This window comes from Homo sapiens, chromosome 4 (assembly GCF_000001405.40).
Source record: "Homo sapiens chromosome 4, GRCh38.p14 Primary Assembly".
NCBI lineage: Eukaryota > Metazoa > Chordata > Mammalia > Primates > Hominidae > Homo > Homo sapiens.
The window spans coordinates 140,388,453-140,401,670 of NC_000004.12; the positions used below are offsets into that span (position 1 = coordinate 140,388,453).

A 13,218-nucleotide genomic window follows, 5' to 3' on the forward strand; every position below is an offset into this window, starting at 1 on the left:
TTCAGGATGAAAAAATATTTAAATTTTATTTTCAATAGCAATGTATGCATAAGAAATTTTGTGAATGGGGTAAACCACTCTGGCATAAAGCAACTATAAAAACTTGAAAAAAAATCTGTACATCATTTTGTTTTGATAAAACCCATTATCCTTGTATTCAAATGTAAAATATGCTGCAATATAATCCAGTGATTTTATGAACAAGGCATGTCCTTAAAGGAATCTATAATTTAAGCAAACAACTCACTGTAACTATAATTTGACACAAACTAGGTAAATGTGGGTCATATACAACACTTTCAATTGTTGATAGAATCAAACAACCATACAGAAACTTTATTGCATTTAGCTCTTCACAACAGAACATATGCTCATTTTTATTATAGAACTACCAGTTATATTGTTGTATAGCCATTTAAGTGGAAATTCCAATAACTGATTTTTCCAATAGCAATGAAGCTGCTACATATTATTTTGTTCTGTACAAACCAAAACTATCTCCAAACAACTAAAACTGTGTAACTTCTAATGGTATTAATCTCTTAGATCCGATATGTAATGTGCCACTTTTATTCTAAATTCAAAGATGAGGTAACTTCAAAGTTGCTTCTTTTTCCTCTGAAATGAAGGACTAAAATAAATGTCTGAAAGAATATAATGTTGCTAGATATTAGAAACAGGATGTGCAGACTGATTAAAGTTCAGGTCTGGCATGCTGATTTTTACAATGCCAAACATCCCTCTCGGGAATTAAAAATATTTCAATCTAGTTTAGTCCTTTCGTACTCTTCTTTTGCGTACTGACTTTATCGGCCCATCTCCAGATCCTGTGCTCTCATCTGCTTCTTTCATCTAGAAAAAATAATTATGAAAAGGTTTCTTTTAGTATAACACATAACTAGTAGATAGTAGTAAACAATATATTTATTATTCTCTAAAATATATGTGCTATCAATCAAGTGCTATTATGAAGGTATTATATGAAATAAAGTTATAGTTATTTCTCAAGGCTATACAAAAATCGATGTATTCCAGCTCACTGACACATACACATAAGAAGACGGAAAGACTGAAAGATGGAATTAAGATGTTTTCGAAGGTACACAAAATATTTTGTAAAGTAAATGTAAATAGAATACATATTCAAGTAAATGACTGCAGGTATTATTTTAAGAAAGTCACAGCAGAAACAATGATTATTTAAAACTTGGCTCTGGAAGAAATTCTCTTCACCTAGCTCTCCCTAAATATGGATATTCATACTAAATAATGGTCCCAAAGTCCCTATAAAAACTCAGAGGGCAGGAAGACCAGCAAACAGTATGTGTACTGATTAAACATTAGGAAAGACTTAACAATAATTGCAAATTTATTTGGAGGATTTCTTTAAATAGATAAAATACAAAATTCATTTCATCACATGCAAGAGCAGGCAGAACTGTACTTTTATCCTACCTACATAGTTGGAATGTAATATGTTAGGATGGTGACTCTGTGGGGTAAGGCTACCCAGCTCTTTAAGGGCCAGAGAAAACTGGTTTTTGGTTTATGCTGGATTAAAAACAAAAAAGAAAAAAGACAGCTCTGGCTCTAATTATACTCGGGATTTCTCATTCCATAATAACTTACAAAAAAAAAGCATTGTGCAAAGTTCCATTTTATATCAGGACACAAAAAGGGGTAGACTAATAAGGGGGGAGAAAAGTTCACTAAAGATTTGAGAAAAATACCCTATCAGGCAGATAGTACTCAACTACCCAATGAATGAAATATTTTAAAACGTGAGAGTAAAATGTTGAGACAATAAAGATGTTTTACAACAGCTATAAAAATTATAATAATGATAATTATCTTTTAAATATTCAAACAATGTGTTTATTATGCTTTTCAATAGAATTTCAATGAGAAAGTCATAATTTTGGATACATGTATTCTATCTTTATATTTTGTACGCCACAGGCTTGCTCTATACTGTTTTACTAGGCATTGAGACAATATAAATTACAGTATTTTTCTTTCCTTCCTTATGGATATGTTTTAAAAACAATATAGAGGCTCTTATAAAAGCTGAGAGAAATATGGCAAAAATTCTTTCATAAATCATATTGGTGCTTTTATTGAAAAAACTTTTTATGGATAACAACTATACATAGAAACCAGCTTATTTTCTGTTACCTCATCCTCTGACCCAGACTTATTTGATTGATTACTTTCTTCTTGCCCTTCTATGATTTCAATTTCTTCTTCACTCTTTTCCTCAGGTTCACTTTCCTCTTCTAGAATACAGATTTTGTTAAAAGCAAAGACTCAATAAATTAGAATTTTGCTACTGAAAAGTATTAAATACAATAAATGGGATTTATTTAAATTCCAAGATTTATTCCAAGATTTAGAAGCAACTTCTTCCATTCAAAATTTTAAAAATTATAAATACTCATTATATTATCATATTTTATAAATGAATCATATTTGAGTTTGGGGACAAGTTTAAAAAATTCTTAAGCATTCAGTCTGTATGTAATATGAAAACCAAAAAATAATAATCTTTCCTGTGTTCCTGTCTTGGAAAATACTTCCTTTAATTTTTGGTGATCTTTTAATCTTCAATATGTTATTTACTTATGTTTGTTCTCTGTGGACATCATGCATTTTTTCAGTTATTGACCCTCCTTAGGATTCCATTTAGCAGAACCTCCAACTTTTGTCATCATTATTAACCAAAAGATATTAAGCACGTCCTAGGAGCTATATAAAGTAAAAACTCCTACCCTACCAAGAATGGGCTTTGGGGAAAGGGAAGTTGAAAAATCAACTCTACTTCTTCTACGTAGTTCCAATGTGGGACTACGTGTATAGATGAAAGTGGTGAAAGTACCTTTATACAAGCAGGCCCCTCCGATACTTAAATTCCCTCTAAATAAGGCTGATCCAGACATCAATATACTAAGCACTAAGAAGTTACAAAAACAAGGCTGGAAACTTACAACCTGAAACATTTGTTGTTTTAGATACCTATCCTAATACACACATGAACATGTGTATGTATATGTGTGTATATATATATATACTGTCTCTTAAAAAATAGATAGACACATATGTGTTTTTAAGTCAACTGTTTCATTAAGTGAGTTAAACACTGTGCTTCAAGACATTTGGCTTGGGACACTGGGCAAATCAATAGTTTTATTTCTACCTTATGTAAGGAGGTCTCAGCGGACAGCCACCAAAGGGTGACTTCAGTTCTAACATCTTCAAGAGTTTAACATAGGGTGAGAAGGGGATATAGGTTCAGCAATCCTTTCAGAAAATTAATTAAATTATTTCTTCTATATGATAAGCATCTGACTAACAATAGCTGTTGGAAGACTTGGTGTTGATTTTGTTGCTGCAATCATCTGTTTTATATCTATTCCTTTTCTACAGAGGCCATGATATACACCCTCTATCACCCTCCATCTCATCTTCTACACTCCCAGAGCCAAGAAACATCCTTGCAAAAAGCTATGGCCTATGGGATTCATTAACTGCTAGGCTCTCAAGCAACTGAACACTATTTAAATCTCCTTCTTCCTAGAATGCAAAAACTATAAACAGGGTGGCTGCTCAGAGGACTATTATTCCTTCTTGCCACAGTCACATATTCTTGGGAGATTCAGATGTATAAACTTGATAATAAACAAGTATAATAACTAGTTATTTCAAGGCCATATACAGTTTTATGAGCTTTACCCAGAGTCTCCATTATAAATCACTCTCATCATCTTACCTTTTTCAAGCATTTCACCATCATTTTGCTTTTTTTCCTCTTCCAGGTCCATTGGTTTTTCCAGGGCTGCTTTCTCTTCCTTTTCTTCTTGCTCTAGTACTCCTTTTGTTTGTGGTATACATATGTCGGTTTTTTTATACTCTGTATCTTTATGTTTTTTCTGTGGTAGTTAACATAAGTTATTTTTACTAAAGGCAGAGTGCTATTTTGAAAGTTTTTTTGCAATAATTGATAACATACATAATGAACTATCAGTAAAACTTATGAGACATTTAGTTTATTACTTTTAAGAATCGCTTAATTTATAGAACTCTTAAACAACAAGAAATTTGGGTGAAAAAAGTTGAAGGAAATCCATTTTCTTTACCTTTACTTTTCTTGGCCAACAAAATGAAGTAATTAATGCTATTGGCACTCCTGCTGTCACAAGATAAATCAACCAAAGCCATGGGTGCCCTTCAGCAGCTGCCATTAACTGTTTTAATACACCAGGCTATAGACGAGATAAGCATAAAAATGCAATTCAAATTTTACAAACCTTTACTGGGTAACACAAGATACAAAAAAACTTATTTACTCAGGCATTTTACATTAAGGAGTGATGAACTCGTAAGTAAAAGAAGTTTCATTTTCCCACCTTATACTTTGTAAAGTCTAATTTAATTATTAGCATGCATCACTGAGTGAGACTTGATAGCAGAAGGTATGTTATGACAAAAGTGGAAACTTCTAACATACTGGCAAGAAAAATGGTAATTTTCCTTTTTGGTAAATTTCAGAATAGAACTACCTTTTATGGATGTATTACCTGGTTTATTTGAAGTGATCATTCATTCTGTACTCTGATCATTCATTCTGTACTTTTAAAGAACTTACTAAAAATCATACCTCAGAATTGTTTTCTTTTTTATATAAACACATTTCACACATAAGACCCTCAGTAAGGATATTATTTCTCTTATTAAAATAAAATTTAAAAAATCAAATGTTTTAGTTACAAGAGGTTCAAAACAAGAATCCCTCTTCACCTACTCTTTTGATGGTTTTTCGCTAGTGACCCAAGGAACCAAATGTAAGGTAAGAATTTTTCTTTATAGCAACTGAATTTAATGATACATTTTCTAAGATGCATTGTGTTGAAATATTTAGCCCAACCTTTTCTAAACAGTGTTAAGGTTTCGGGAAAAAACTGGAACAGAATTTAATAATGTTAAACTATAAATTCTTTGTACATTCCTCTAAGTAAAAAATAGTTAAATAAACAGTAATATTTAGATTATCATTGTCACTTAGGTCTTGAACTGGCAAGATGACAAAGATATTAAGTAGTCTTCTTCTATGAACAGTAAATAAGCATTAAATCCCATTAGTGATGTTATAATTTAATGAATAAAATGAGGACTTACATATGCATATATAGCTCATAATGAAGTAACATAAAAAGCAAAATATTCTGTCTACATAAACTTATTCAAACACATTTCCTTGGCATTTAGTAGTTACTGCACATTTATTTGCATTTAAAAGAGCCATCTGAATAACCTACAACCAAGACCAAGTATTATTATTCATAGTTATATCACTACTGCTATTGGTCAACACCATACCTTATTAGCATTTGCTATCATTATTTTCCATCTCCAACCATCTGCAGCCCAGTGATCTGCTACTTCCTTTTCCGAACAGATAATAAAATTATCAAAGTAGATATCAGAGGTCATAGACCAAAGCTCTAAACCAAGAGCACTGAAAGAAGTCAGAAGAAATGGATGATCATCTTCGAAATAATCTGGATTAGGAATTTTTCGAGGACTCCAGATTCCCTGGAAGAAAAGTAATTGAAGACATTTTCAAATAAAATAACTTCATTATAAATGCTGCTTAATAAGTAGCTGCTGTTGAATGAAATTCGCAATGCTAACTGGAAAAAAGAGAATTTTAACTGATATTAATTCATTAGTAATATACTGGATATAAAATCTTGTTTCTTTTGCTGTGTACACAATGTTCCCTACGAGTGATACTAACTTTAAATTCTGCAAGAAAAGGAAAAGGGAAAATCCAACATAAACAGAAACGTGAATAAATTTCACAATTTGTCTACTTTGGACAAATTTTTAGATTTAGTAAAGTTATTCATTGCAAAATGTTATTCAAGTTGTCCAAATCAGAAAGATCATTGTATAGCAAAAATGGAGTTACTCCATTTAACATATACCCATGACAGATATCATTAATCAGGTATGGTTGAATCTCGGCACAACTACTCAACCTAAAACTTCCATTAGATCTTAAATGATTAAACTGTCCATTAAATCAAATACATTCAACAATATCATTGCTCACTGACTCACTCCACCATCACATGTATGTATTCTGGGCCAGGCACTATGCCAGATGATGGAGACATACATGGTTCCTGTATTATGGAGTTTAAAGTCAAATAAAAGAGACAGACATCAAACAAAAAAATTTACCAAAAGAAACATTTTGTGTTAAATGCTTTTAATAAAAACTACAGTGAGTAATTAGAATATGAAACTGCATATATATAATGTTAGAACGTATCCATAAATAATTACAAAGATAAAACTAGAGGGTTAAGTGGATAACATAGAAACTTTTAATATAAAAAGCTAGGTACACTCAAAAGATGTCGATTGATATCAGAAAAAAATCAGGGCTGGGTTCGGTGGCTTACTTCTGTAACCTGAGCACTTTGGGAGGCCAAGGTGGGCGGATCACGGTCAGGAGTTCGAGACCAGCCTGACCAACATGTGAAACCCCGTCTCCGCTAAAAATACAAAAGTTAGCCGGGCGTGCTGGGGTGTGCCTGTAATCTCAGCTACGTAGGAGGGTGAATCAGGAGAATCGCCTGAGCCCAGGAGGCAGAGGCTGCAGTGAGCCAAGATCACGCCAGGCCAGGTTTTTTGTTTTTTTGTTTTTTTGTTTTGAGTCTTGCTGTGTCGCCAGGCGGGAGTGCAGTGGCACGATCTCAGCTCACTGCGATCTCCACCTCCAGGGTCCAAGAGATTCCCCTGCCTCAGCCTCCTGAGTAGCTGGGACTACAGGCGTGCGCCACCACATCTGGCTAATTTTTTGTATTTTTAGTGGAGACAGGGTTTCACCATGTTGACCAGGGTGGTCTCCATCTCCTGACCTCGTGATCCGCCCGCCTTGGACTCCCAAAGTGCTGGGATTACAGGCATGAGCCACCGTACCTGGCCAAAAATCAGAATTTTAATAATACTAAATAATAAGTACATTAATTAAGCACAGGCATTAATTACTAAAATGTACAATATGAGTCTATTTGATCAAAATTCACTTCTTATATTTACTTCTAAAATAGAACTTTATTTCAAAGTGAGCATCAACTGATAATTAGGGAAGAATATAGTATGAAGTGATTTATTTCCCCAGAAAATTAAATAATTGATGCTCTACTTTTAAAATATAAATTAGTTGAGGTCTATTTTCTTTGACATCTTAAAATTAAAAATGAAACTTCCAAAAGTTGACATAGGTAATTAGATATTTAAATAGAAAAGATCACAACATTTTTAACTTCACTAAATAATTGGAACAAGCGGTTGTTACCTGATAGTTAGGATTATCGACCAGTGGAGGTCTCCATACTCCTTTGTATTTTGGGTTATCTATCATGGGAGGTTTCCACTCACCACACCCAATCCGACATGCTGGATTAAGAATCTGAGGTGCCTCCCATTCTCCATCCGTGTCTTCATTCCTTAGGATATTAAAACAAAGCAAATACAGTAACCTCAAGTCTCAGATCAGTCATATAAACTAGTAACAAAAATGCATGTAAGAAACATTTGAAATCGACATTTGAAGATGAAGAGTGCTTACCAGTCATCAGGTTTTTCAGCATTAGGATCAGGGATAAATTTTGGTTCATCATCAAGCCAGCCAGCAGGTTTAACAACACTTGAATCTTCTATTTGGGCAGGTTCACTTTCATCCCTGTAAATACAACGTTTTATATTACTAATTATTCAGAAAGTTTAAAAATGCATGTTACAACACTAAGAAGGTACCATAAAATTATTTCCCTCCCTTTTGTTTGTGCCTGTTATTTGTCCTCATCTACTACCCACCTAAATCTTTTGCTAACTTGCCAATTTTTGGTACATATTCCCTGTTGTGCTCTATGCATACATGCACACACGTATACATTCTTTTTTTTAATACGAATGATAGCATTCTATACATAATGTATTAGACCTTGCTTTTGTTACTTAAAAACTCAGTCATTCATCAACAAATATATATTGCATGCTTACTATGTGTCAAGACTGTTCGAGGAGCTCCATTATTATTATTTTTTTCTTGAGGTGGAGTCTTGTTCTTGTTTCCCAGGCTGGAGTGCAATAGTGCGACCTCAGCTCACTGCAACCTCTGCCTTCCGGGTTCAAGCAATTCTCCTGCCTCAGCCTCCAGAGTAGCTGGGATTACAGGCACCTGCCACCACGCCTGGCTAAGTTTTTGTATTTTTAGTAGAGATGGGGTTTCACTATGTTGGCCAGGTTGGTCTTGAACTCCTAACGTCAGGTGATCCACCCACCTCAGCCCCCCAAAGTGCTGGGATTACAGGCATGAGCCACCATGCCTGGCTGGAGCATATATATATACATATATATATATATATGTATATATATATATATGTATATATATATATATACACATATATATATATACACATAGCTTCATTCTTAACAGTTGCATAGTTTTCTACTTGAGGATACACCATAATTTATTTAGCTTATCTCCTCTTGGAGGACATTTAGTGTTTCCAAAATTTTACTATTATTAATACAAACAATGCCATAGTGAATGTCCTAGAATATATGCCATTTCTCATCTGTGAAAATATAATTGTTAAGAGTATGGACATTTTAAATTTTGATAGTAGCATCCAAATTACTCTCTATAATGGTTACACTCCACTTCCGGTTCTACCAGCAGCATGCAAAAGTACCTATTTTCTCCTGTCCTTGCGAAGAGTGTTACCAAACTTCTTGATTTCTGCCCATGTGGTAGGTGAAAAATGGTATCTCACTGAACTTTGAATGTACATTTAGTAGCATAAGTGATACACAAAAACTATTTTTTCTTAGCTCATTACCTTTATACTAAGAAATTAGCTCTCTGTCAGCTATATGATTGAAAATAATTTTTCCTGGTTCTTGTGTGTTTTTTGAAATAGTTTAGGGAGGTTTTTTTTTTTGCAATATACAAATCATTTATTTTCATGTAGTTGAACTTATTTTTAAAGGATTCTTGGATTTTATGTCATATTTGGAAAGTTCTTCCCTATTCCAATATAATTTTTAAAACTCTCCTTATTTAATTCTAGCATTCTTATTTTAAAAAGAACACTTAGGCTGGCGTGGTGGCTCAAGCCTGTAGTCTCAGCACTTTGGGAGGCTGAGGCGGGAGGATCACGAGATCGGGAGTTCGAGACCAGCCTGACCAACATGGTGAAATCCCATCTCTACTAAAAATACAAAAATTAGCCGGGCGTGGTGGCGCTTGCCTGTAATCCCACCTACTCATGAGGCTGAGGCAGGAGAATCCCTTGAACCCAGGAGGCAGAGGCTGCAGTGAACTGAGATCACGCCATTGCATTCTAACCTGGGTGACAGAGCGAGATTCCATCTCAAACAAAAACAAAAACAAAAACAAAACACTTAGTAAATTCTGAAGTATATAAACATAAAGTACTGAACTACTAATACAATTTTCATCATTACAGAAAGATAGAAATTTTAAACAAGAGGACACTTCATGATTTTCCAAATGAGTTACAAAATAAACAGAAATAATCAACTTTACAAATGTATAGATTTGTGCTTGCCTGATACCAATGTCATCTTGAGTTTCTGAGTGCTCAGAGTAACCAAAAGTTAAAATTTAATGGAGCATTTCTTTTAGTACTTTGTAAAACAAATTCTAACACATTTCAACAATCAGAATGAAGCAGTTATATGTGGTTTCTCTCATTTAAGGGCAAACATACTCTTTTTTTTTTTTTTTTTTTTTTTTGAGACAGAATCTTGCTCTGTCACCAGGCTGGAGTGCAGTGGCACGACCTTGGGCTCACTGCAGCCTCTGCCTCCTGGGTTCAAGCAATTCTCCTGCCTCAGCCTCCCGAGTAGCTGGGATTACAGGCACCCGCCGCCATGCCCGCTAATTTTTGTGTTTTTAGTAGAGACGGGGTTTCGCCATGTTGGCCAAGCTGGTTTCGAACTCCTGACCTCAGGTGATCTGCCCACCTCGGACTCTCACACACATACAATAAAGATCAAACTAGGAATGAAAATTAAAGCACTGGTATTTTGGATTTATGAAATTTTTAATCCACAGCATTGAAAACATAAAAAATAAATATATATTAAAAAATGCAACATAATTATCAATAGAAATAAAAAAAAATTACAGGGAGGGAAGTGTAAAATCCATTTTAGAAAATATTTCACCCAAAATACTAAAAATAAGTAGTTCTGATGTTTAAAAAAATAAACTTCATGGGTTGTAAACTTCACTTATATGTTGTTTCATTACCTAGTTATGCCAGATAATGCTTTGCTACCGAATTATTTGCTTACCAGTCTTCTGGTTTGACGGCAGAAGGATCAGGAATTTTTGCTCTTTCATCCCATTCCTCAGGTTTTTTATCATTGGGATCTTCAATTTCTTTGGGAGGTTTGATAGGAGGAACCACATCCTCTAGGAGGCTTCCTTTGTTTACAACTGTTTGATCAACTAACACCTCAAATGTGTCATCTGGATTCATCACTAAGGGACCAATTTAAATAAATTATAGTTATCATTTTGATATACGCTTTAAAGATAATCTTCTAAATAATGTAACTACCCTTAACTCCATGGGTAAAGCTTTTTTCCCAACCAGAAATAGAGGAATAACCAATGTATTGAACTAAAACATTCTAAAATCACTAGATACATTTCCTAAAGATAAAATTTTGTTTTAAACTGCATTTTTTACAATAAAATGCTCCATTACTTCTCAAATAAAAAATAATACCAAATAGCTCTGTTTTGGGACTCATAACGAGTCAGCTTCACTCTTTTATAGTTACAAAATACAAGCTAATCTTTTTCAGCATTTAATTTTTTTGATACCATCTTAAAGTGTTGTAAGTATAACAAAAAATTAATTTATTCTGTTCTAGTAATATTTTCTCATTATTTCTACAGTTTACTTGGTGTTCCCCCAAATGCCTAGTTTTTTCAATTATTTCATAAAGATATTTATTATATCACATCTGATATTGAAGATGAAATGGGCATTGCCCGAGCAGACAAAATGAATGTTTCTACCACTGCAGCATTTGGGGAAAAAGATTGAAATACTTTAATCTTGGGTGGAGTTGAGACGTGAGAAAGGAAGCCAATAGGGCCATTTCAAAATGTCCTATTAGGTTCCAATATGCTCTGATTTTGATAGTGGGCTGACCAGAGCTCTACAGCCATTATACTTGAGAATGGGAGAAACAACTGCTTATGATGTCCCTCACCCCCATATCTATGCAAATTCCTATTTACTTAAGTATATTAATATATGGCTGCTCAATGCTTCTCCTTTCGAAGTACATGCCACAACCAACACAAGGTAGGACATAACAATAATCACAACTGCCTACAGAATAAAGTCTAAACTTTTTAGTCTGGCATTAAGGGCCTCTTCCTTTTTATTTTTTAGTTTTCTGTTCTGGCCTCTTCCTTTTTATTTTCTAGTTTTCTGTTCTTACAGCACCACTGTCACAACGTCTAAAATGTCCTTTCACCCTACTGTCTTCAACATTCTATCTGTACTTCAAGACGAGTTCAAATATAATCTTTCCTAGCTTTGTTCCAAGTCTCTAAGCTGGAAGTAATATTGCTTGTGAACTCTTAGCTGTGCCTCATCTCTCTTTCTTATATGGTACTTTATTTTCTACCCGTGCTGTCATTATACATGTCCTATTTTCTGAAAAAGATAAGCTCCTTCAGGATGGGGTACACATTTGTTTTCTTGTAAAGCACTTGCCATGAATACATCAATAGTCAGCAAATATTTTTGAATACATGAATGAATTAAAAGGGTATACCAAGGGTATAAAGATGAGTCTTCCTGTCTGTAAAGAACTTTTTAAGGTCTACATCTGGAGGTTTGGCATGTTTCTCTTCGAAAACTCCAGTTTTGGGATGTTTATGTCTGAAGATAAAATGAAGTTTATAATCTTCTCCACATTTATCTGGTCCAAACATAATGATATAGGATGTTTTATCATAAAAGTTTTCCTTCAAAGAGAGATGAGTGTTGGCATTAGTCCAGAATCACAGACTATTTAATGCATTTCTGTATTTTATCCAATGGGTAGAGTTTACAAAAATATATTAAATGGTAATTCACCAGAGAGCTAGCTATTTAATACAAGTGACAATAAAGGACATGGGAAAATGACAAATTTTACTTCAATATAGATTTTTTTAAGTACACACTACTTCCTGACGATGTGGGACAGAAGCTGAAAATACTCTAGCAACACCATAATATGCTTTAACTCTCTATGTAAATCTATATTACTAATATTTTTATTGAGAGAATTAGGCATTAGAGGAAAGCATATTTATGGCCTTAAGACTAAAATTATCACCCATTACTATTACTTAGGAAGATACCAGAAAATGACCCTCTGAGCACAAGATGAAGAGAGATTCATTCAGACATAAAAACAGACACGAGGACATGAATTTCTCTTTATTTGGCATGGCATAGTGGTTAACAGCATGGGGCATGGAGTCAGATACTGGGGTTCAAATCCTACCACTGCCTCTTAAACTAGTTGGGTGTCACCCTGACTCAAATTTTTTAAAGCTCTCTGCACCTCCATTTCATCACCTCTGAAGTATGGAGATGATAATAGTACCTACCTTATAAGAGTTCTCTAAGGATTAAGTGAATTAATCAGATAAAGTGCTTATAGAAATACTTGGCATTAGATTTTTTTGTCATCCTACCTTCAAGTGTTCATCTAAAACAAGAGCTTCAACATATACTCCAATGGCCTCTCCTTCACTTGATCCTAATAATAATGAGTAGTACATGAAAAAGTCTCCCATCTACATTTCATAGCTTATGTACAGCTAAGTGTTCTGAAAAATATACCCCTGATGTCTCATCTATCGTATTTCTGTTATATGCAGAAAGTCTGAAACAGCCTTTTACAGGAGAAGGCTATAAGAAATATCCCCAACTTTCCAATGGTCCTAATACAACCTCTTAGAAGTATAAACCTATTTCATCATGAAAAGTTTTTAAAATTAGTTACTTTCTGTGGGTTGCTAACCCCTTTTAATTTGGTTCTTCGGCCATTTTGTTTCACTGCTATGCTTTGTTATGCTTCTCTAAACAAACTTAA

General features: G+C 34.0%; 1 protein-coding gene across 2 annotated transcripts in view; it reads right to left on the reverse strand.

Moving 5' to 3' along the window:
• Window positions 1-13,218, reverse strand: part of CLGN (calmegin) — a 39,196-nt gene continuing 25,978 nt past the window's right edge. For both annotated transcript variants that reach the window (NM_004362.3, NM_001130675.2), the window contains 9 exons: window positions 11,905-12,097; window positions 10,399-10,588; window positions 7,640-7,753; window positions 7,367-7,517; window positions 5,374-5,589; window positions 4,134-4,259; window positions 3,767-3,926; window positions 2,176-2,276; window positions 1-852 (listed from right to left, as the gene is read on the reverse strand). In NM_004362.3, coding sequence (NP_004353.1) covers window positions 772-852; window positions 2,176-2,276; window positions 3,767-3,926; window positions 4,134-4,259; window positions 5,374-5,589; window positions 7,367-7,517; window positions 7,640-7,753; window positions 10,399-10,588; window positions 11,905-12,097 — 1,332 coding nt within the window. In that variant the 3' untranslated portion in view covers window positions 1-771. The remainder of the gene's footprint in view (window positions 853-2,175; window positions 2,277-3,766; window positions 3,927-4,133; window positions 4,260-5,373; window positions 5,590-7,366; window positions 7,518-7,639; window positions 7,754-10,398; window positions 10,589-11,904; window positions 12,098-13,218) is intronic.